Raw genomic sequence first — 26636 nt, forward strand, 5'->3', positions numbered from 1 at the left:
AACTAATACTGTAACAAACAACATACCTCAAATATAGCCCAAACTACATGTATGTTAAACTATATGTAGGCTATCATTTCATAGTAACTGCAAAGACACAGCACATGTCATTTTAAATTAATTGTAGCATCTACTCAAAATTATGAGTTTTTAACCAAGAAAGTTGAGTACTATCCTCTACTGAAAATCTTTAATAGAACAGACACACATAAAAAGGCAAGGACACACATTTTCTTTCAAGTCCTTCAATTCAGTAAAGACAACCACAATCAAATTCTTAACCACTCTGTAGGCTTCTAATGCCTACTGGCAAAACTCTAGATTGTAAAATTGTATTTACAATCATATAAAACATTCTGATAATACCAAACCTAAATTTATTTTATAACACAATGACTTCTCTTTGGGAGTCTGGTATTATTAAAAACTGAACTTACATTTCTTATATGACCATGTAAAAACATGATTTTACCACTAGGTAACAAACTCGGACAACTCATCTGTAAACATGAGACTCCTCTTATATGTCTCCACATAGCTGAGTTAAATTAACCATATGAATGATGATATCGCATATTTTTCTTTCGAAAATTTAAATGTTAAAAAATCACTAACACTATATAAAATTCAGAATCTTGAAAGTCAAATAATGGTATTTAAATTTTTCTACTATGAAAAGCATGCTAAATTTTTCTCTGACATTTTCAAAGCAGTATAATGCTTGAAATTTCACCACCGATACATCAACCAACCAGACAGACATGATTCTCTCAAAGAGCTTATGGTCTCTTGTACACATTTACAGGCAATTATAACTACAACACAGCACACAAGGAGCAACTAATAATCAGGCCTAAAGATAAGATTTCTCAGAGAATATGATGTCTAAATTCAGAAAGGCTTTGTAGAAGTAGCACAATAATCAAGAAAACAGGGAAAAGGTAGAGCAGGCAGTTAGGCATATGAGGAGGGCCTAGAATGAGAGAACATAATTAAGGAACTAAGGAAATCAAGATTCAATTGGAATAGAATGTACAGTGAGAGGCAGACAGTAAAAGACATGTTTAAAAATCATGCAATGATTCATTTTAAAGAGTCGATTTTATTCTAAGACATTTACTCCAGCTACAGTATAAGAATTCATTGGCAAAGTAAACTAGCACCACAGAAAGCAAATAAGGAAGTATGTTAAGTAATCCAGAAAAGAGATGACAGTGGCCTACATTAGAAAGAAAGAAAGAACGAAAGAATGGAAGGAAGGAAGGAAGGAAGGAAGGAAGGAAGGAAGGAAGGAAGGAAGGAAACTGAGCTGAATCAGTAAGAACAGTAGGAGAGGAAGGTGTAGTAAACAAGTAGTTGAAGAATACTTTGCTTTTTCTGGATTGGGCAAGTAAAAGACTCCACCAAATCAAGGAAAAAACGTGAATATTCAATGTGAGTATGAAAGAAGCAGTAAGTTCAGTTTCAGACATGTTCCACTGGGTATACTATGGGACATGGAAATGCAGCTATCCACTAAATGGTCTGATACTCAAGAATAATCTAAGCTGGTGATAGGCATTTCAAAATTCATCAGTATATAGATAGTAATTTAAGCCACAGCAGTGAGTGGGAACACCCAGAGAGAGGATGCAAAGGAAGAACAAAGCCAGTAACTGAAGCCTAAGCAGTGCCAAAAATAAGGGCAAGAACACAGAAAGAAGTGAGTCCAAAACCATGTATATAATACACTAATTATAACTACAGAAATCAAAATAAAGTTTTTTTGTAGAAACAAAAGCTTAGCATCATACTGCCAGCGAAAAATAATTGGAAGGCAGTTGTAGAGTTCCTCAAATCTAGCCCAATCACCTTGATTTGGTAAATAATTTAAAGATAAAGTTTAACAATATAGTGAGATTCTAGATCTAAATAATATAAGCATCTTGAAAATAAAAACATTATCTAGTTATAATTAGTGTCTCAAAAAACACTACTGGCCAGGCACAGTGGCTCGTAACTGTAATCCCAAGACTTTGGGAGGATCACTTGACACCCAAAGTTCGTGACCAGCCTGGGCAACACAGAAGGAGCCTGTCTCTACAAAAAAATTAAATAAAATTAGAAGGCTGAGGCGGGAGGATCACTTGAGCCCAGGAGTTCAAGGCTGCAGTGAGCCATGATTGTGTCACTGCACTTGAGCCTGGGTGACAGAGTGAGACCCTCCCTTTAAAAAAAAAATCCAGTGAAGAAAGAGTTTGGGAAAAAATTTAAGAAATAAAAATTTAAATTTAAATTTAAGTTAAAAAAAAAAAAAAAAAGTCCAGGCATGGTGCCTCACACCTGCAATCCCAGCACTTTGGGAGGCCAAGGTGGGCGGATGGCTTGAGCCCAGGAGTTTGAGACCAGCCTGGGCAACATGACAAAACCCCATCTCTACAAGAAAATATAAAAATTAGCCACGTGTGGTGGTACGCACCTGTAGTCCCAGCTACTTGGGAAGCCAAGGCAGGAGGATTTCCTGTGCCCAGGAAATCGAGGCTGCGGTAAGGCATGATCACACCACTGTACTCCAGCCTGGGGAACAGAGCAAGACCCTGTCTTGAAAAAATATAAATATAATAACGATAAAAGAAAAAAGAATATACTTCCAGTTTTTATTGTAATCTTAACTGACATCTTACACTTTTTCAATCTCACATCTCACATGTTAAGACGGTAACATGATCCTTCCCTCCAACTAAAAGTTTAAGCATAATCTTAATTATGTTTTGAGAACCTTTAGTTAAAATATATGAATGCGTTAATAACTGAAGGGTCGGGTGTGCTGGCTTATGCCTGTAATCCCAACACTTTGGGAGGCCGAGGAAAGAGGCCAGGAGTTCAAAACTAGCCTGGGCAACATAATGAGGCCTTGTCTCCACAAAAAAAAAAAAAAAAAAAAATTAGCCAGGTGTGGTGGCACACACCTGTAGTCCCAGCTACTCAGGCAGCTGAGGTGGGAGGATTGCTTGAGCCGGAGGGGCTGAGGCTGCAGTGAGCCTAGACTGTGCCACTGCACTACAACCTGGGTGACAGAGTGAGAACCTGTCTCAAAAGAAACAAAACAAACAAAATAAACTAAAAGGAATGATAATGTAAAACAAATGAAAAATAGCAAAAAAAAAAAAAAAAAACCTGAATCAAATTTTTCCAACACAAATGGTAAAAATTAAAGTACAAGGAAAAATAGATTTCTCCAAAATACTTTACATTTAAATTTATTTAAAAAGAAAACCATCTACTAGAAACTGGATTGAAAAAGAACATATTCACCATGGCTTTATTAAAATATTATACAGCAAATCTGGTACAACAAAAATCCTTGAAATATCTGTGAAAAATAGCTAACAAATACGTAATTTCTTAGACTCTTAGAATTACCATTTGAAACCTAGTAAAAAAGTTTCATATCTTTTTGTATGTCACCTTCTCTCTTTTACCCATCCTCAAGAACTTTATCTCACCAGTAACCTAATTTTTATTTCTGTTCCAACCTCAGCAATACCTAATCATAACTAAAACAAGTAGGTAGAAGTTACCATCATTCTTCAATTAAAATTCTTACTGTTACAATTTCTGACTTCAACTTCTTTAAAAAAAAGAAGTTGCTGAAACTATTTTTTAAGGTATAAGTAAAAGCTCGCCCACAGTAATCCCCAGATAATCAAACTGCAGGCTTGGGTTTGAGTATTATAGGAAGAAAACATACCCAGTGCATACTAAAATTACATCAGAGACATCCACTTACAGTCATAACAGAGTAACTGACACAGAATGGCCATCCTGCCATCCACAACTACAAAACTGGAGAAAATATACAAATAATAACTATTTCCAAACATTAGACAACAGACAGCATGTAACTGTGATCTGTGAGAGAAGGCAAACAGATGAAATAAGCCCTATTATCACCCTCTCTTTCTACTTGGAAGTACTGTCAGTACTATAGAACAGGGAGGTGTGTTGCTCAGCAGAGAGACAGAAAACAGTTTGGGGAAGCTGAAGCGGCTAGAATTTGTGGGACGGAGTATCAAAAAGGAAGAAGCAACACAGAAAGACAAACAATGCTATCTGCATAGAGGTCCTCTTGAGTCTGGCTGAATATAATGCTGCACACACATAAGATGAGACTCCACAAACCAAGCAAAGAACAACTACCAAGGAGCTATATAAAGAACAACTAACAGTGTCCTCATAAGGCTAGAAACATTCATGATTCTATCAACCATAGTAAATTACCTCTTTAAACAAGATATCACTAAGACCATACTATAGAAGGCTAACCGAGATCTAGAGAACAGGCTACTCTGTACTTCCCCTAACAAAGGTAAGCATAAGCCTTAACAGGACCAAGTTTATCCCCAAATTAACTGCCTGTCAGAACAAATGTCAACATTTTTTAAGGAAAGAAAACAAAATCCTGACCCTCAGCAACATATGTACAATGTCTATAATCCAATTCCCAAGATTAGTAGACATGTGAAAATTCAATCACAGCACACCACAGAAAATCTTGCCTGAGAGGGTCCTGCACAAATTATTAGTCTCCTCTGGCCACATTCAGATTTTCCCTATGTTAAAATCAGAGAATAAAGAGACAAACAAAAGCAGCTTTCCACAGTAAAAGAAATAAAAGTTAAACAAACAAAAAGATTCCACTGAAAAGTAAGACCAAAAAAAAAGAGAGAAGTAGATCACAACACAGATCTTCCCATTTATTACTATACATTACAATATCTGATAACATGAAACAACACAAAAAATAGCATATATGGTATACTCTTCTTACTAATATGTAAAAATACAACATTCCTAAGCCTACTTGTGAAATAATAAAAAGTAAATATATTGGTCTCTACTCCCAGTTCTGGGCATAGAGCTCCTAAAACTCTTGTAAATAGGGATGCTAGAAAAATCTTTGTTCCTAATAGTTGGTCTTTGATCCCAGTTCCTGACACAGAGCTCCTAAGACCTCTACAATTTCCTGAGTGACAGGAGTGCCTGACACAGAGTTCCTGAATCCCTTAGAATTTCCTGGATGATAGGAGACCCTTTTGTTCTAATAAAGTCACTCTGGGTGGAGTCCTGGGTGGAGGATGGTCATTACAAAGAGCAAGCCATCATTACAACTTACAAGCCCCAACCCTTGTGTGCTCTGGGGAGGTTAGAAGAGCTGGAGATTGAGTTAATAATCATGCATGCCTGAGAAATGAAGCTCCATTTTGAAAAACCCCTAAAAGACAAAGTTTAGAGAGCTACTAGATTGGTGAACACATCTACGAGCTATGAGGGTTGCTGACCCAAACTCCACAGGAAAAAAAGCTTCTGTGCCTGGGACCCTTCCAGACCTTGCCGTACATACATATCTCTTCATCTGACTCTTCATTTGGATCCTTCGAAATATCCTTTGTAATTAATCAGCCGTAATAAGTAAATTGTTTTCCTGAGGTCTGTGAGCCACTCTAGCAAATTATCAAATCTGAGGAGGGGGTGGTGGGACCCTCCAATTTGTAGCCAAGTCAGACCGAAACTGTGGGTAACCTGAGGACCTACCATTTGTGATTGGCTTCTGAAGTGGGAGGCAGTCTTGTAGGATGGAGACCTTAACCTGTGGGGTCTGCACTAACTCCAGTTAGTGTCAGAATATTGAATGGAATCATAGGACATTCAACTGAGTCAGAGAATTGGTCAGTGGGAAAAACCACCACAAATCTGGTCACAGAAGTGTTGAGTGTGAGTAGAGAGAAAAACAGTTGAGGTTTCCTATAGATCTGGTGTCAGAAGTGAAGTACTGAGACAGAGTGAGTATAGAAGGAAAAAAGTTGGGTTTTCTGTACACTTCTATAAAAAATTACCAAAATTAAGTTTCTGCAACTAAAAGCTAAGCTTCAATTAGTGTCAAAATTGTAGATAAATAATTGTTTTAGATGGGGTTTATTGCTAAGTGAGTCTTTCTTACCATATATATAAGGAAATAATTATTGTTTCTCTGTTCAGAATTTAGATCTGGTAACTTACATGAAACACAGCCCCTAAACCGGAAAGCATACAAACAAGAAAACACAATCAAACATCCCACACACTAACACATATTCATTCAAAGATAAACTCCTCAATGTATCAATCACTAAAGAATCATGAGACATAATTCTGACAAGTGTTATTCTGATATCCAATTTCAGAGAAAACTAAAAGCAGTCAATTAGAAGGAAAGTCTTAGTTACTAAAGGAAGGTGACTCATGAAAGCCAACAAAAATGAAGAAAACAATAAAAAGTCACAGAACTTAGAAAAGAACATAGAAAAGAAACAGATTATAAGAACATAAAAAACCAAGTAGCCCAAAATAATTTATCACAGGAAAAAAACAGACCTATTCTGGCAATGATGCCAGAAAAGTATTACTTCATAACCTCTGTCAAAAAGATGAACCTAAATCAAAAAGAAAAGGTTAAGCCAGGCATGGTGGCTCACACCTGTAATCCCAGCACTTTGGGAGGCTGAGGGGGGCGGATCACTTGAGGTCAGGAGTTCGAGACCAGCCTGGTCAACATGATGAAACTCTGTCTCTACTAAAAAAAAAAAAAATACAAAAACTAGCCGGGTGTGGTGGCACGTCTGTAATCCCAGCTACTCAGGAGGCTGAGGCAGGAGAATCACTTGAACCTGGGAGGCAGAGGTTGCAGTGAGCTGAGATGGCACCACTGCACTCCAGCCTGGGTGACAGAGTGAGACCCTGTCTCAAAAAAAAAAGAAAAAAAAGAAAAGGTTAAATTATACTTGGGTACAAATATACTTGGATTACAGCAGAGAATCACTTTTAGATACCATCTACAGTAGTTGAAACAAAACAAGTTGGTATTCAAAGGAAAAAGCAAAAAATTCACTTAATGTTTTGGTTAGTCAATGGCTTACTCTACTTACAAGCAAAAATTACATATTTTAGAGCAGCAGTCCCCAACCTTTTTGGCACTGGGAACTGGTTTCATGAAGGACAATTTTTTCCACAGACTGGGTGATGGGGTTGTTTCAGGATGATTCAAGCACATTACATTTACTGTGTACTTTATTTCTATTATCCTTATTATTCCATTGTAATATCTAATGAAATAATTATACAACTCACCATAATGTAGAATCAGTGGGAGCCCTAAGCTTGTTTTCCTGCAACTAGACGATCTCATCTGGGGGTGATAAGAGACAGTGACAGATCATCAGGCATTAGATTCTCATAAGGAGCGTGCAACCTAGATCCCTCACATGCATGGTTCACAATAGAGTTCGTGCTCCTATGAGAATCTAATTTCACTGTTGATCTGACAGGAGGTGCTGTTCACCTCCTGGTGTGCAGCCCAGTTCCTAACAGGCCATGGACTGGTTGGGGACCCCTGTTTTAGAAAGCTACCTCTCTCTTCCCATTAATCTTTGTGCCAGACCAGAGGGGTAAATCCGGCTATTATTCTACAGCCTTTTCTGGTGAGTTGAGAAGGTACACCAAGCATGAGTTTTCCTTAGTAATCTTTGACTTTAATATACCTACCGCATTCTAAAATACCCCAGAGTATTCTTTTCATATTATTCAAATCCTCTATTTGAAATCAAGCTACAGCCATAGTTTTATTTCACCAGTTTATTCTTCACAAATAAGATGTTCTTTAAAATAATGAACATGAAAGTATTTCATTCAATAAATAAAGCAAAGTACTTACCTATAATGCTGATTCTGTAACAAATAAAAATCAGATAATCATGACTACAATTACAGAACCTAACCTCAGGGTAAAGAATTCCTGACAACTGAGTCCCCAAGATCTGCTCCATGAGGGTTCTCAACATAGAAACCCAAAAGCCCATGAAGTAAGTCCTCACTGGATGAGGTAACCAAGTATAGTTCAAACTAGTAATTAAAAGATAGAAGTTTGATCCTATTTAGTAATTCATTATATTACTTAAAATTAATAATCTAAAATTCTTAATTACGAGTTAGGAAATGGGGACTGTATAACGGTGCCTATCCTGTCTACTTTCAAACTGTCATGATAGTCAAATGAGAAACTAATGAAATTGCTTTGTAAATTATGAAGCACAATACAGATGTAAAATTATCTTATTCAGGGTAGGATGACTCCTCTAGTGATTTTTAAGCAAGATCCTGGAGTTTTTCTGGCCCCTTGAAAGAAATTACTTTGACCAACAGTAAAAGTAGACTCTCAATAAGTAAATCTCCAAGAACTGATTAAGATTTTCTCTATGCAGCTTCCAAAATTGATGAAAATATCAAATGTTTGTTTAATCAACTATGAAATAAGCATGGTGCAATAAGAAGGACATATTATAATTATTTACTATCATTAACGTTTTCCAAAATCCAAGTTTAACACAATTCTTAGAAACTCTTAAACGTGACTTGAAAATAATATTCTCACCTGCAGAGTACCTGAGCAACACTCTTAGATGAGCAATAACTATCTTACAGGTTCATTATCTAGAAACTTAAGAACTGGTATAAATGTTAGCAATCTGTTATCAATGAGTTAATCTTTGTAAGAGCTCAAGAATCTAGAATCCCTAAATTTGACTTTTCACCCCCTTATCTGTTCATGAAATGTTATAATACCAAAGATCCTTAAATGAAGATACCCAAGGTCTTTCAAACACAAATTTATTTAAGTAATGTTGCACAATGATAATTCAGAGGCAGCTGACCAAAGCACATTTTCATTTAGAAGTTTATTTTCCAGTGATTACGTTTTGAATTGGAAGAAACGCTCTGAACATTAAAACCTAAGACCTAAAATCTTCCACACTTGTGCTTCCTAGAGCCAGACCTTCAAAATTTAGAGATCTGTTTCAGTGCTCCTGATTCAAAAATTAGCAAGGTCAATTCCGAAACAGAAAGGGCAATCACAGTTAAGTAAATAATCTCATTCAGTGAGGCTATTTAAGCCTAAAAAGAAATCATTAGGTACTGTATTATCTAACACTTTAACAGATTCTATCAACCCTGAAGATCAAAGAGCCTTCAGATAAAGAATATTTCTTTTGATCCTCCACCCCTAATCTTTCAGAAGGCATGTCTAATAAAATAATCCACAGATGGAATCTTGCCAGAGAAAAAGATATTCTCTGGTCCCTTTCTCACAGTGGGGTTCTCCATTTGGAAAAATAAATATATAAAAGCACACTGTGGATTTATGCGCTAGAGAAGAGGGATGGCATCTAGAGAGGCATCAAGCTAGTACCCAGAACATCCACAGATTTGTTTCCCTGGTCTAATGCCTAATTTACTATAAATCACATCTAAGACTAGGATTCTACACAATACTTTCGCAAACATTTACAAGTGATCGGATGACCTTATATGGGATATCTTTGCACACAAGACAGATAAACTGTAAGCTGAACACTAGGATAGAAGGCTGTTGATCACTGTTAGGTTAGAGGAAAAGTTTCAACTAGAATAACACAGAGTTATGTCCTCCTGGCTCTAGACAAAGAATTATGCCATGCTCAGTATTTTCTATTAACAACTTACTTTTAAAACTGGCTATCAAGAAGTATTCATTCCCTACTGGTAGAGATATTCATATTTAGGCTGGGCAATGCTCAACCTCGGTTTCAAAAAGCAATTACCTGGAGAACGTTTCTAGCACAGGGAGAATAAGGAAGAGAAGTAACATTTGACAAGGTATGTACATATGTGTGTACAGGAGGAGAATAAACCATCTCCTTCAAGTGCCTTTTTTTAAAACCCAAGTGCTTTTTAACATCATTTTCAAACTGCCAGAAATTTACTTGAGACTTGAAAGCACCAGACAGGTGTCATGATGCTACTTTTAGCGATGGCAACTTGGATTAAAAAGAGCCAACATTATATCCAACCAACTCTTGGCTCTAGACAATGAAGGTATGGGGGAGGAAAGAGACTTTACTGAAAGAGATTAGATCTGACATGATCAAACACCCTCTCCCAATTTTCCTTAAATTAGCTCTGAGATGCTAATCATGATACTCCATCTCATTTCTGATTTGCTTCCTTTGAAAAAAAAGAAAAAAGAGAAAAGTCTCAAAAGTGCGATCCTAGCCAGGTTAGGTGGTTCATGCCTGTAATCCCAGCACTTTGGGAGGCCAAGGCGGGCAGATCGCTCGAACCCAGGAGTTCAAGATCAGCCTGGACAACATGGCGAACCCCTGTCTCAATTAAAATTACAAAAAATTAGACAGGTGTGATGGCGTACACCTGTAGTCCCAGCAGCAACTTGGGAGGCTGAGGTGGGAGGATAACCTAAGCCTGGGAGGTAGGTCAAAGCTGCAGTGAGCCACGACTGTGCCACTGCACTCCAGCCCGGGTGGCAGAGTGAGACTCTGTCTCCAAAACAAAAAACAAACAAACAAAAAAAGTGCTATCCTTCAAAAGATCTGGAGCAAGGCAAAAAGGCAAGAATCAGTAATTTTTTCCCCAATGTCACCCAATGAGGCATTAATTTGAAAACACTGTTCTAACAAAGCAACTAGCATCCAAATTCCAAAGGAGTCTCTATATCTTAAGGAACACATGAAAAATAAACATATAAAAGCACACTATATAAAATGTATAAAAGCACCAATTAAGCTGTATTGTTCTCATCCTCAAAGGGTTATGAATGTGGAATATCAATGTTATGACTGTATCTTTAGGTAACTGTTTTATGTGAACATCATCCTTCAGAATTATTATCGGGCAATCTCTTACAAAAAGTAATACTGTAGTGAATTACTAGAAAAAAAATTTCCACAATCAATAACGAGTCAAGACTAAAACAATAAAAAGCAAAGAACAGAACTAACATATATCATTTTATAAAAATTCACATTTCTTTAGTTTTTGGTATTTTCCTAAGACATACGCTCTCCTTCCCTGCACTGCAGATAAACAGGTCTACTTTTAAAAACTGATACTAGGCCAGGTGCAGTGGCTCATGCCTATACTCAATACTCTGGGAGGCTGAGGTGGGAGGATCAATCGAGCCCAGGAGATTAAGACGAGCCTGGGCACCATGGTGAAAACCTGCCTCTACAAAATACAAAAAAATATTAGCCAGGAGTGGTGGCATGTGCCTGTAGTCCCAGCTACTTGGGAGGCTGAGATGGGAGGATTGCTTGAGCCCAGGGAAGTCAAGGTTGCAGTGAGCCATGATTGCACCTGTGTACTCAAGCCTGGGCAACAAGTGCGATGCTGTCTCAAAAAACGAAAAACAAAAACAAACAAACAAACAAAAAAACTGACAGTATATATGAACAGCAGAACTCAACTTATTTCTAATACAAAAAAAACTTCATTTATGAGTTGTTTTGCTATCTAAAACTGGACTTCAAATATTCCAAATACTCGAGACTCCTAACATTTTCACAAAATTGTAAAATGCTCAGATGACATGAACTATCAAATACAATATTAAGATAGTATTTCAAAAGAAAGCAGAAGAAAACTTTTCAGAAGGGGCCTATGCTGAAAGACCACTGTATTACCATATACAAATCTACACTATCTACAATGCATGGCAAAAAAAATATTATGTCCCACAACCAGGATTTGATACTTTGATCTGACACATACCAGGGTCTGGCAATTGTCACAACAAAACCACTAGAAATGTTCCTCAAATCAAAGTATTTATGTACAGTCTATATAATCTGGTTGTGATATTAATTCAAAAGCCTACCCTGTAGCAATAAAGGTAATTAACTTATTACATAAGTCTGTCTTTTATTGTTGCTAATCATGATATTTATGATGAGCACTGTGTGTTCTAGTTCTTTTCAGGATTATCTAGACATAGTAAGCTCCAAATCTTTTGTGTTATGGCCCTGAATACTTTATAGGAAATCTAGGCAAGAAATATTGTGAAAAATTTGGATACAGAATTCTTTATTTACAACAGTGACTTAGCAAAGGTTGAGAGCTGATAATATTTTAAGATAGTCTTCCTTTATATTTAGTATCAGGAAAAGCTATGTCAAATGTTTTATGTAAACTATCCAGTAGACTAACCCTTGCTAATATGCTAATTACAATATACTGTCATAGTGTTAATAGTAATATCCACTTCTCTAAGTCAAAGTCAAAGATGATGCATAAAGCACATTTTTTAATAAAAAATTTTAATTGGGAATTAAATGTAAGTAAGATAAAAGTAGATGTCAAGCCTGCCAGACTTCACATATCTGGATGATGTCTAAGCACTCATTAATTGTCCTATGCTATCTAGAACTATAAATCAAAGCATACTGTGGTAACTCAATGTGTTTCCATTGTATAAATTAACTAAAAATGATATAAAACATATTAAAAAAACAAAAACACTACCAACCATGTCTTTTCTAATTGAGACATGAAATATCAGAACTGGAAAGACCATGTTGTCATAGAACACACGTGTAAAGTTGAGTTTAAGTCTTTTTTTGGAGTTTTTCTAAGAGTTGAGAAAATCATATTAAACCTAAAATTTTAGTGAAAACATTAATTTTGGCTGTAATAAAAACACTACGAATAGATACTGAAAAACTTGGGGAATAATAAACAAAGCAGAATTCATGGTTACCATATTTACACATACTCTTTGTTGTGTTTCAGTGCCACATGATCTGATTCAAAGTAATAAACATCAGGATCATCATCTTCCTCTTCTGTAATGTGCTGACTGGCACTCTCTTTGGCAGATGGCAAATGTCCAATATTGAGTCTTGCCTCTGAGGGTGGTTTACTTACTCCTTCACTTCCATTATTTTGAGAGTCACAACATATCCCTTTTTCATTTTGAGAAATTTCACCAGGATTTGTAGGAGATTGACTTACATTATCACTAACAGTTGCATTTGTTTCATTAGGACTAAGATTATTCTCCTCAAATTGTCCATTTTCTCTGTAAGGAGAACTGTTTTTAGTGGGACTACCTCTGGTAGGGGCTGCCCTTCGTGGTGAGGTTCTCAGAGTATAACGATGTTCTTGAGGTTCTGATAAAGACATCATTTGAGCTGAAACACAGTCTAGAACAGGAGATGGTTCAGGTTCTCCGGAGGCTGGCATACTCTCAAGACTTGTGTCCAGTTCGTTATTGGTGTTTTCTTTACACTGCTCTTTTGAGGCACTGCTATCTCCCACCACATCTACTTCCTCCTCAGAATCCCTTAAAGATGACTGAGTTTCAGAAAAGGGCCCTGTAGCTGGCTCAGTAGTCAGCTGATTAACATGTTCCACAGGCAAGCAGGCAGTTACTATTTTGTGGTCCTCCAACTTGACCTGCACTTGTGAATCTGTGCAAGGCACCTTATGGTCTATATAACTGTCCTCCTTCCTACTATCAAGGAACATTGAAGTTTGGGTATCCGTATCCCCATTTTCAGCTACTGATTTTTCCTGTAACACATAGGAACCAATGCTATTTTGTTTAGTGTTCCCATCAGGCTGACAGTCATCACAGTTTATAACAGCTGAATCACTGTCATCAACACCATTGACAGCCAAATAGCCTGTGATTTCTTCAACTACTGCAGAATTAAGTGGCCCTTCCTCACTGACATTCACCTTTTTAATTTCCCTTTTCTCACAATCATCCAGTATAAGACATCGACAAGCTCGTTTAGTCCCTTGAAAATCTGCATCATTGTCCACTACTGTACTCCTCTGTTCTACTGACTCCTTGTCTGATTTTATAGGAGAATCTTCTTCTGAACTGTTTGGTGCTTCAGATCTAAGACAACGCTTAATTCTTTTTAAAACTGGTGAAACAGGTTCTGTTTGCCTTCTCTCACAATTTTCTATAGCCTGCCTTTCTATGTTATCCTTTTCTGAAGAAGAAAGTCCTCTTTTCCTAGGGCTTACCCATGATTCTCGGGTACTCTGCTGTTTTAAATCAGTGGTTCTCCCATTATTATTTCCTTTCTGAATTGGCACAGGCTCTGGTCTCTTCTTTGGTGATCTTGATCGTACTTGAGAATTAGAAGAGATTTCTTCAGGATGCGCAATGCTACGATTCCTTAAAGTTCTACCACAAAAAGATTCATCCAAGCCGTTTAACCCCACTGTTGATCTTGTAACACGAGTAGATCGGGAAGCAGCCATACTATGGCAAGTCCCTACAATACGGTCATCATGATCCACTCATTGGGAAACCTTCAAAAATGTAAACAAAATAATGAGAAAAAGGTAATAGTTAATATACCCAGAACGAAAGTATAAAGCTATAACTTTTTAATCCAAGTATACTTGGACATTACAGTCTATAACTATCTATATAACTGCCAATATTAAATTATGTGATAAAAATTCTTTAACGTTTCCAATAATGATATAAATTATAGCTAACAAGCATACAGTACTTAATATGTTCCATGAGTCTTTCTATATGCCTTACATACATTAACTCACTTAAGTCTCACAACAACTCAGATAGGTGCTACTATCATCCCTACTTCACGAATGAGATTAAAGCACACTCTGAATATTCTATCCAAGGTCACAACTCTAGTAAGTAGCAAGGCAGGGCTCTAGAGACCATAACTGCCTCACTGTGTATCTGCCTCTCAGGCATAAAACACCCAGAAGAGATCTATCCTAAAGATGTGATTTCATTTTGGTCATTAAAATAATAATCTTCGGCCGGGCGCAGTGGCTCACACCTGTAATCTTAGCACTTTGGGAGGCTGAGGCGGGAGGATCATGAGGTCAGGAGTTCAAGACCAGCCTGACCAACATGGTGAAACGCTGTCTCTACTAAAAATACAAAAATTAGCCAGGTGTGGTGGCACACGCCTGTAATCCCAGATACTCAGGAGGCTGAGGCAGGAAAATTACTTGAACCCGGGAGGCAGAGTTTGCAGTGAGCCGAGATCATGCCACTGCACTCCAGCTTGGGCGACAGAGTGAGACTGTCTCAAAAAAATAAATAAATAAATAAATAAAATAAATAAAATAATAATCTTGAACTTATATAGCAGCTATCTTTCAAAAAACTATTCCAATCATTTCTCGTGTTCTTTCAAAATGTTCCCGGTATACAGAAAGGCAGGCTCTCCTCTTTTTAATTTACTTTTGCTAAAATGAGTTTCAGATCAAATCCCTTAATAATAATCTGGCATCCAAAAATTTTTTATTGCAGTATAATTTTTCATAACTAAATAGACAAAAATCACAATGCTAGCTTGCATTGGCTAAGAACAAAACAAAGCAAACCCAAGCCTTCCTAGTCTCTAGAAATAAAGCCATAAATTAGCAAGTGAAAGGGAGTGTTCCAAAGACCAGAAAAGAAAATGGGGAAGAAGCCTCTGAAGCAAATACTTACATTTAAGAAATCAAGACTACTCCTGTAATCCCACCCTTTCCTTCTTTGAACTCCTGTGTATAGCATATGCCAGTGCCAGTTTTAATGTGTGGTTTGGGAGATGAGCAGGTATTCTGGTGTGGATGCTTGAGGTTTATATGACAGAAATGTAAGGGATATAGAAAAATGCCTTGATTGATCCATTTGGGTAAACTAGTGATTTGGTGATATTTTCCAGAGGCTCTCCCATCAAGCAGAATAAAGGAGCTGTTAATATTTGAAGTCTCTATTCCCCGACTCCTCTTCTGTTTAGTTTTCACAAGGTACCCTGTCATTTTATTTCCTAACTTTGAATGAGATGCAGGATGATTAGTTAGAGAAAGAGGCCAGTGGTGGCAATAGTGCAAAGTTTCACAGTCCCTTCCTCCTGCCTTTGGTCATCAACAGTCTCCCTTCTCATGTAAACCTCCAAATGCCATTCTGACTCCTACCCCTAAAAATCAAACACAATTTCTCCTTGCTTCAACTAGAACTATCTAACAGTGGAAAGTTTGGAAGAATTATAGAAGACACAGCAACATGCTACCACATATAAAAAAGAAACACTACAGGAAATAATCTCCCTGTTCCTGCCTGCTGACAAGTGAATTAAGTGAGAAAGTACCCTGTAAAATATTTAAGTTGCCTGAGTTTAGTGTTGTCTCAAAGTATGGCATACTTTTAAATTTTTAATTAACAATTTTTTTAAATCTTATAAGAATCACAAAACTAGCCCTGGAATTAAAGCATGGTTATATGTTCTACAGAATTTCATAGCAACCAAGTGAACAATAAGTACAAGACACAAATCAGAACTTAGAAACACATTTCTTACAGTAGTAAACTTTCATTGTTTGGGGGATTCATTAAAAGAACAGCTGACATTTAATTATCGTTTGCTAATATATTATCATGAAGATTACAATCTGTTTCTTTCATGGGTAACAAACACTGAGTGTCCCATAATTTTCCACTTTTAATTGTAAAACATTTAAGTTAAACTTCAAATGATGTTTTAAAAGAACACAAACTGGCCAGGGGCAGTGGCTCATGCCTGTAATCCCGGTACTTTGGGAGGCCAAGGCAGACGGATTACTTGAGGTCAGGAGTTCGTGACCAGCCTGGCCAACATGGTGAAACCCCGTCTCTACTAAAAATACAAAAACTAGTAGGGCATGGTGGCACATGCCTGTAATCCCAGCTACTCGGGAGGCTGAGGCAGGAGAATCGCTTGAACCCAGGAGGCAAAGGTTGCAGTGAGCCGAGATCGCGCCACTGCACTCTAGCCTGGGCAACAGAGCGAGACTCTGTCTCAAAAAAAAATAAAAAGAAAAGAACACAAACTGAAATACATGAAAAGCAACTTACTTGTTTCATGTATCCAAATCTGGCACTCTAAAGGGTTAAGATTACTTATTTTTAAATATTAAATATGTATGTAAATGCACAAAAAAAGCATAAGGCTAAGTTAAATTTAATAACTAAAATGCCTACAAAATCTAATACATATTATCTTTAATGTAAATTCAACTATACTCATAATTTATGGTTCAAAAATAATACTGACAATAGAAATACTTTATAAACACACAAAAGAATCTGTTAGTCTTTACTTTTTAAAATGCAATCCCAATTAAGGGCATAAAAACCTCTTAAATTATTCCAATAATAAGACTTCCTTAACCTTTTCTTTCCACACCAATCTGAATGGGAGCAAAATTTGCCTTGCAGTACAAACTTCTCAAAGAGAGACTATTTTGGATGAAATGAACCTATTATTAGTAGTACTAAAAACCTTTTTTTTATACATATATTCTTTACTATAAAATATCACCTATAAGCTGGTCATGGTGGCTCAGGCCTGTAATCCCAGGACTTTGGGAAACCGAGGTAGGTGGATCACTTGAGCCCAGGAATTCGAGACCAAACTGGGCAACATGGCGAAACCCTGTCTCTACTAAAAATACAAAAAATTTATCCAGGTGTAGTGAAGCCTGCCTGTAGTCCCAGGTACTAGGGAGGCTGAGTGGGAGGATCACTTGAGCCTGGGAAGTCAAGGGTGTAGTGATGTGACTGCCCTTCAGCCTGGGTGATGGGAGCAAGGCCCTGTCTTGAAAAAAAAAAAAAAAAAAAAAAAATCACGTATAGTAAGGCCTATCTTAATTTTTCACCATTCCACTGATTAAAATATGAAAACACTGATTAATACAAAAGTTAAATAAAATATGAAAACACTGATTAATATAAAAGATTAAGGTTCTTTCCATTTCTTCTGTACCCTAAAAATGCTTTTATTTCACTCAATAACTAGAACAAAGCCCTAGTGCTAGGATTGTCAAATTCTGTGCTATTGGGCTGTATTGAAAGAGAACTTGTTTTATAACAAGGATCCTTGTGGTACCTCAGGCTCTTGCAGCTCAATCACGGGCATCTCCTGGAAGCTTGTTAGAAATGCAGAATACGAGGCTCCGCCCCAGACCTACCAACGAATTAGGCTCCTAGGTGATTCATGTATGTATTAGGGTTTGAGAAGCACTGCCTTAGGCTAGTGAACCCAGACAGAATTCTAATAAGATAATAGTCATCAAGTTTCAAACTAAATTAGAACTATTTATAAAATACCCTTTAATTTCTTACTGGATCCTAATAATAAAAAAATTTATAAATAAGACCAAGGAAGCACCAAATGGAAGACTATAAAAAATCTTACCTGAAATTAACATGTGATGTGCACTTGAGGTAATAAACTGGTTAAAATTATTAAGATCAGAGTTAAACAAAATTTTGCTAATCTTCCCTCTGATCATTTTTTTCTGTTCTAACCTTTTTCTTCATATCTTTTCTATTTTGGATAGGCATATATAAAGGTACACACTTTCTATAATTATCTAATAAACTGAGTGCAAAATTCAGTTAATAAAAAGGGACCAAAAATGTCTAGATTAGCCAGGTGCAGGGGCAGGGAAGTGGGGGCACCTACAGTCACAGATACTCAGGAGGCTGAGGCAAGAGGATCACTTGAGCCCAGGAGTTTGAGAACTGCCTGGACAATAGTGAGACCCTTTCTGTTAGAAAATAAAAAATAAAAAGTCTGTATTATCTCAACCAAGTCTCAACATTGTTTTGCCAAGCTTAGCAAAATATTATAGACTAAAGCAGTTGTTTTCCTCATTTTAGCTGCATTGCAAAATGTTTCTTAAGAATACAATAAAGAAGCTTAGAGTACAAAATTATATTTCTGCCAAATATTGTTAAGGAATAAAAATGAACTTATTTACAAATTATCTCAGGAAATAACCCTGTTGGCTAACAAAATAAGAGGTATATGGTAAAAACCTTAGCCAGCATCCATCTGAAATTAGAAATGCAATCAATCTAGTTTTAGAAATAAGGGAAGCCATTAATTAACATATTCATATGGGCAAAACGCAATCTAACTAACAACTACACTGGAGTTTTTCCTATATGTTATCTACCAAATAATGAATGGTTGCACTTTCTAGAATTCAGAGAAAAAAGAGTGTGGTCAGTAACTAGAATTAACCAGACTCCCTCCCTCTCTTCCCCACCTTCATAAATTCTCATCCTCTTGGAGGCCATATCTGAGAAGGACTAGTCAACCGAATTTCAACTTGTCCATTCATATTAAGCCCTCAATCCTACCTATAATTTCACATATCCTACCCACATATTTGCTGCTGAATTGCCCTCTCATAAATTTGAATCTACTGTTACCCAAATATAACTATAGGATTCTGAAAAACACTCTTTGAAGCATTATCAGCTACATTTCAGGTCATAAATTTCCAGCTCCTATGATCATACCTGTAGAACTGTACGCATAAGAACTAAAACAGATAATAATTATTAAACAAAAAAGGCCCACCTAATGACACACTTCTCCAGCTATTTACTTAAGAGAAAGAAATTTCAAAAAGATATTTCAAAGACCTTGCCTATAAGCTTTTGTTCCTACTATAATCACCAAAGTGGTACAGTTTATTTTGGGAATTGAGCAGCTGGCAATCTTCCATCACACCAATGGTTTAGCTGATATTTATTATCATAATATTTAGTTTTATTAAGTGAAAAATTTTTAGTAAACTGGTCATGATACCAGAATATATTCACATAGACAAACCAAAGTAAAAGGAAAAAAGAGCAAATGCAACTGGAAAGTGTAACCAATATGATTCTTTTTCTAGTTGTCTAAACATAAACTATTTAATAACGTTGAGGCCATGTTTGTCATATAATTATTTTAAGACAATACCTCAGCAGTGCAATTACCACCATATCTATAATGTTAAAAGTAGAAGAGTAAAACCTGGCTGGTAACCCACCCATGCAATTCAACTTAAGGTTCTTAAATAGTCACCTCTTTGAAGTCTGGGAACTCTATTATGCATTGTTTTACATAAAGAGACTTCTTATTTCTTTCCCATTAAGAGAAACTGATATATGACAGATGGTCGGTAGGTAGGTAGGTAGGTAGGTAGGCAGGCAGATAAGCGGACAGTCAGACAGACAGACAGACAGATAGACAAAAGTAAATGAACACACACTTTAAAAGACGATCAGGAAAAGGAAGTCAAGGAATTTCACAATGCCTCCTGAGTAAAAAATTCCAACATAATCAGTCACTTCATTTATACCCCATTGAAAAAAAAAGGGAGGGAAATATTTCATTCCTAACCCATTCCCTGCAGCTCCATACTCCTATAAACAGCCAGCCAAACTACAAGTTGCCACCCAGAGGATGTATGGAAAAATAACAAGTCTCCCCATCTCAAAAAAAAAAAAGAAGAAGAAGTCAAACTATAGCTGTCTTCACTACTGCAAAACTAAATAACTTACCTGTACAACCAAAGATCTATCATTGTGGAAATATAATCTCTTTTCCTTATATCCTGAAGGAGTTGGAGCTATGATCTAGAATGGAGCTTAAGCATCAGGGTTTCAGACTCTCTCAGCTTCAGCCATGAAGAATACTAGAACCTCCTAAATTTTTCTTTAAAATAAAATAATGAAAAAAAAGGATTAAAGAAGATGATGAACTTATGCTAATAGATTTACTCCTTCTATAATAAGAAGAAATACAGGTACAGAAACTGTTCATAGTGACATCTTTCATGCTTCTCGGTAACTCTGTAGCCTCAAGAATACTAAGAAACTGAAATAGGATTTTTAGAAATCAACAAAAGCAAACCAAAAAGATACTAAAATATACCAAATCCTTACAACTCAATATTAGTTTGAACTGAGTCAAAATGTGACTTGCTCTTTTCTAGACATTGCTCTAAGGGAGTATTTTTTTTTTTTTTTGCGGTGATAAAGGTTGCCCTTGATAGCATTTCTCATAACAGAATTTATAATATCATCTCGTACTCTTGTCCTAGAGGACTTCCCAAATTCTCGACATCAAGTATACATAACCATTTAGGTTATGCATAAAAGAATCACACAAATAATCAACCAAATCTTCTATACCTATAGGAAAACCTTGATGCTTATTCAAGTGCTACAAAATTCAATTACAAAAGGACATTTCTATTATTTTTGGCATATGTATTTTTAACAAGAACAAGAACAACAAGGATTTTCCGGTTTTAGTACCCAATTAGCCAGACAATTTAATTAATCTAATTACATTCCATTTCTTAGAACAGTCTGGTTAATTTTTACTATATAATAATTTATTATGATATCCTTTTCAAAGAATGTACAGGCCAGGTGCAGTGGCTCGCACCTGTAATCCCAGCACTTTGGGAGGCCAAGACAGGTGGATCACAAGGTCAGGAGTTCGAGACCAGCCTGGCCAACATGGTGAAACCCCATCTCTACTAAAAATACAAAAAATTAGCTGGGCATGGTGGTGTGCGCCTGTAATCCTAGCTACTCAGGAGGCTGAGGCAGGAGAATCGCTTGAACCTGGGAGGCAGAGGTTGCAGTGAGCCAAGATCACCCCATTGCACTCCAGCCTGGGCAACAAGAGCAAAACTCAGTCTCAAAAAAAAAAAAAAAAAGAGAGAATGTACAATCTGCTAAATGGGTTACTATGAGTGCCCATCTGAAAACAAGGAAGAGGACTAAGAAAACGACCAGCAGATGTTTATGACAGAAACTGTCGCTTTATTATAAGCATAAAACTAGATATTATAATAGTGATACATTTTGGGGAAAGCATTACAACTTAAAGACTGATATAATTACAAAATCTTGTAATTACTAGGCAGACTTACTGCATAATAAAAATAGGTTACTGCTCTAGTCAGCTAGAAAGAGAATAGGGATAGTAATATCTAATATCTATAGATGCCACCTCTCCCAAACATGCCCTGGAAATGCTTTAAAAAGCACAAGGTAGGAAAATTGTCTAATAACCATTTAATACTACAGTACATTAAGAAATGTTCTAAGTTAACATGGGGAGAAGCTCAGCGAAAACATGATCCTACATAAAGTAACCCTTGACTTGAAAACCCACTCTTCTTATAACAGACTCCAAGTGACAACTCCTTTGTACCAAACACTGAAGCCTTTCACAAACATGGCAAAACATTACGTTTTACAGTGTGTGATGGTAGTAGCAATCATCAAAAGCAAAGAACATCTACAACTTAAAGTATATCTCTGAGCATACTGGAATGTGCCCTAGTAGCACTCTATCAAGTTCTAATCAACCACATAACTACTCTATTTGAATAGAGTTCACTATAGGAAGATTATCCACTACGATATTTAGCAGGCAAGAACATCTGCAACTGTTATTTTCACAGAACTGATACTTACAGCTGAGCTCTATCAGCATTAAGATAGACAGGATCCTGCAGTGTTTCTTAAAAGCCTGATACACTGAAAAAGAAACTTCAATCAATTACTTCTAACTAAACCCCACATGGCCTTAATTAAGATTACATTATTTCTTACCTTTTAAAAAGCGTTTTGCCTAGTATTTGATCCCCATGCGTCTGTATTTATCTGTCATCACTGTTAATTGTCCATGTTACACTGAGACTTCAGGTATTATTTATTTATATGGTTGTACTAGAATAACTTGATATCTGTGAAGAGAAACCATAATATAGTCACTATAGATGTGTTACCGTTTACAAATTTGTGAATAAAATTGGTAATATTTCCAAACACTTATATAGCACACTTCATTTTCTACTAAACTTCACAAGTAATTCCTTACATTTAGCTGTGAAATATGTGTCTTCAACAAACTAAGATGATTGGCTAACACTTCCAAGTTCTTCTCAGGGAGTACCCACATACAAACATTCTAAATTTAATTCCATACTTAAACCCTTACAAATTGAAGAGCTCCTCAGGTTCCTTTTCTTACCACCAATATAGACATATGTCATTTTCCTTAAGTCTACAATTACTCTCCATTAATAGAAAAAGTACTTTTTTGTGTGTTTTATATTTTAGGGAATAAATCTATAATTAAAAATGAAGTAAAAAAAAGATAATGACGGTCCTTTAAATGTCACTTTAAACATCTGATATCTTTCTTAAGTAATTTTGGAAGTAAACAGAAAATAAATGTTATTTAAAATAAACTGACATGTAGGTATACAAACATTCCTTAAAGGTAAGCTTCTTAAAAACAGACTTGGTTGACGGTTACAAGTTGGAGAAATAGATCTACACACTTACATTGATGACCAAAAGCACCGTACAGAATTTTAAGTCATTTTAACCAGTTTATCAGTGAAAAAAAGGAGCTACAAAAGAATGTTCATTCATACATATCAAAGAAAGCAGCGTATGAATGGCATTCCAAAATGTTTCATCATGCTGTACCACTCCATTACACAGTAAAAAGAGTACAAATCTACGTGGAAAATACAGATAACCTAGCAAGGCATGGTGGCTCATGCCTGTAATCTCAGCACTTTGGGAGGCCAAGACAGGAGGATCCCTTGAGCTCAGGCATTCGAGACCAGCCTGGGCAACATAGTGAGCCCTCTTCTCTAAACAAAACAAAAAAAAAAAAAATGAAAATTAGCCAGACGTGGTTGTGTGTGTCTGTAGTCCCAAGTACTTGGTTGAGGTGGGAGGATCATCTGAGCCCCGGAAATTGAGGCTGCAGTGAGCCATGATCGTGCCACTGCACTACAGCCCAGGCAACAGAGTAAACCCTATCTCAAAAACAAAATTTTTTTTAATGAAAATGCAGATAACCTTACACATGCTTTCTGGATAAAACTTGTTATTAGGGGTGTCAACCATTCAGATATTCTCAGTGAGAAGTTTCATTAACAATAGAGCGATTAAGAAACATCTATCCTCAAACACAATTCCTTATTCACTTGTTTTCAAACATTAAAACTATATAAGTAACACCATAAAAAAATTAACACTTTGGGATGCCAAGGCAGAAGGATCGCTTGAGCCTAGGAGTTTGAAACCACCCTGGGCAACAAAGTGAGGCCTCATCTGTACAAAAAAATAGAAAAAGGTAGCCACATGTGGTGGTGTGCGCCTGTAATCCCAGCTGCTAGGGAGGATCCTTAGAGGGGCAGTGAGACCTGATTGCATCACTGCATTCCAGCCTGGGTAACAAAGAAAAAAAAAAAGAAAAAACCGATCTAAGTATTTTTTAAGTTTAAAAATTGTCATGACATCTCTTGTAACAAAAAAGCAAGGAAATTAAACTAGCCAAAACTCTTGTAGCCCCTGTATTGTGTTCTTCACCTCATTCAATATACATTTCAAACTCAAGCATTCTGCAAAACTGTTATATGCTTTTTGCAGCAGAAACACTGCTTTGAATTATGACAATACACAGTAATTTTTTCATTTGAATTATTTAACTACAGTTACTTACTTCTAGAAGTTTAAAAAACAGCATTTTGTCTTTTAAAAAGCATACAAAATAGAAAACAAACTATCCAAGTCCTATTCCTAAAGCCATCTTATTTATTCCCTTGGAACAGAGCTTTGCTTGTTTTCATGTACTAATAAAATTCATTGACTATTCAAGCATTCCAAAGCAAACCCAAAACCAATCTTCACTGAAAAGAATTACTTTTCCTACTTCTTGCAGTCTTAACACTGGTACTACTGTGTTAAATAGATTACGTGATCTCAGATTCACAGCACACATGTAATCACTTCAAAAGACTACGTAAATCTCACTAGAAGATACAGCCCTAGTGATATAACCAGGGTATAAGCCACACAACTTACTATTAAAATAAAACAATGAAGTTCAAAGTTAAGCACAATCCCTAAATTCTCAGGCAAATTATTTTTTAGTTTTATAAGAGCTTGGAAAAAATTCAAAAGGAAGGTCATACAACAGAGTCATATTTATTACCTGATTCTTCACTTGTTGTAAGTGAAAGTATCACATATAGGCACTATACTATGATTTTAAATGATTTTATAAGAAAGAGACATTCAACGTCAGTTGTAAAAAGCATAAAGATATGGTCAAAGACAGAAATAACTTTCTTTTTTTTTTTTTTCTTTTTGAGACGGCGTTTTGCTCTTGTTGCCCAGGCTGGAGTGCAACGGTGCGATCTCGACTCAATGCAGCCTCTGCCTCCTGGATTCAAGTGATTCTCCTGCCTCAGCCTCCTGAGTAGCTGGGATTACAGGCGCCTGCCACCACGCCCATTTAATTTTTGTACTTTTAGTAGAGATGGGGTTTTGCCATGTTGGCCAGGCTGGTCTCAAATCCTGACCTCAGGTGATCCACCCACCTTGGCCTCCCAAAGTGCTGGGATTACAGGCATGAGCCACCACGCCCAGCCCAGAAACACCTTTCCTAGACAATTAAGCTTTCACAGCTACTTGCTATAAAGAGCTGAACCGAATTTTCATTTGGTACAATAATCAAAGAAGAGTACATTTTCTGCTCAGAACCACATGTTCAGTGTCTTGGATGCCTTCTATAGATTTTCAAAGATAAGCCTATTTCACAGCCAATAGAAAGACAATAGGAAGAATATAGGATTTGGTGGAAGGAGACAGAAATGTGATTCTCTGTCATCAATAATTATTTCGCCATGAGCAAGTCACTTTGCCTATCTGTACTTTATCTATAAAATGAAACACATAATACCTGCCTACTACCTCTCAGGGTTATTGTGAAGTTCAAAAGAGATCACATCTGTGAAGTACTTCAGGTTACTGACTCCCAAATTTTAGTGTGTCTAAGAAATCCCTGGACCCAATCACCTCATAAATTCAGATTCAGAAGGCCTGAAGACAAATGCATAAATTTTCATTTTCAATTAAGCACTTCAGGTCATTCCAATGTATGGGCTCCCAGTGATGATCATACTTTGAAAAAACTACATCAGTTTCTTCTAAAACTTTAGTGTTCGGGCTGGGCACAATGGCTCACGCTGGTCATCTCAGCTCTTTAAGAGACCGAGGCAGAAGGATCACTTTGAGGCCAGGAGTTCGAGACCAGCTTGGGTAACTTGGCAAGACCCTGTCTCTACAGAAAAAAAAAATGCACACAATAAATTAGTGGGGCATGGTGGTGTGCACCTGTTGTAGTCCTAGCTACTCAGGAAGCAAGAGGCCTGGAGTTCAAGGCTACAAGCTACAGTAAGTTATGATCACACCAATGCACTCCAGCCTGGGCAACCAAGTGAAGCCCTGTCTCTAAAAAATTAACTAATTAATCAATTAATTAAAAGAAATAAAACTTCAGTGTTCATAAGCATTAAATCTAGGTACATGTTTAAAATACAAATTTCTAGCTGGGCACAGTCACACATGCCTATAGTCCCAGCTACTTGGGAGGCTGAGGGAGGAGGATCGCTTGAGTCCAGGAGTTCTAAGTTGTAGTGCACTATGTCAATCAGGTGTCTGCATTAAGTTCGGCATCAATATGGTGATCTCCAGGGAGCAGGGTATGACCAGGTCGCCTAAGGACGGCAGAATGGGCCAAGGTCAGAAACAGAGCAGGTCTAAACTTCCATGCTGATCAGTAGTGGGACTGCACCTATGAACAGCCACTGCACTCCAATTTGAGTAAAACAGACCCTGTCTCTTAAAAACAAAATGAGAAGAAAATGAAATAAAATACAAATTTCTAAACCTCATTCTTAAAAATTCAGATTCAGGCGAGGCGCAGTGGCTCACGCCTGTAATGCAGCACTTTGGGAGGCTGAGGTGGGCAAATTACCTGACGTCAGGAGTTCAAGACCAGCCTGGCAAACGTGATGAAACCCTGTCTCTACTAAAAATACAAAATTAGCCAGGTGTGGTGGTGTGTGCCTGTAATTCCCAGCTACTCGGGAGG

General features: G+C 36.8%; 1 protein-coding gene and 1 pseudogene across 22 annotated transcripts in view; one reads left to right on the plus strand and one right to left on the minus strand.

Moving 5' to 3' along the window:
• Positions 1-26636, minus strand: part of ZZZ3 (zinc finger ZZ-type containing 3) — a 120983-nt gene that overhangs the window by 56818 nt on the left and 37529 nt on the right. For 5 of the 22 annotated variants that reach the window (NM_001376156.1, NM_001308237.2, XM_047417337.1 and 2 more), the window contains exons 2-4: positions 22289-22422; positions 22151-22213; positions 20216-20369 (exon numbers count right to left, since the gene is read on the minus strand). In NM_001376156.1, coding sequence (NP_001363085.1) covers positions 20216-20238 — 23 coding nt within the window. In that variant the 5' untranslated portion in view covers positions 20239-20369; positions 22151-22213; positions 22289-22422. Of the gene's footprint in view, positions 1-12601; positions 14173-20215; positions 20370-22150; positions 22214-22288; positions 22423-26519; positions 26540-26636 lie in introns of those variants that run through there. The other 17 variants (NM_001376148.1, NM_001376146.1, NM_001376154.1 and 14 more) reach the window with 8 other exon arrangements.
• Positions 26091-26385, plus strand: RN7SL370P (RNA, 7SL, cytoplasmic 370, pseudogene; annotated as a pseudogene).

The sequence above is a fragment of the Homo sapiens genome, chromosome 1 (genome assembly GCF_000001405.40).
Source record: "Homo sapiens chromosome 1, GRCh38.p14 Primary Assembly".
Lineage (NCBI taxonomy): Eukaryota > Metazoa > Chordata > Mammalia > Primates > Hominidae > Homo > Homo sapiens.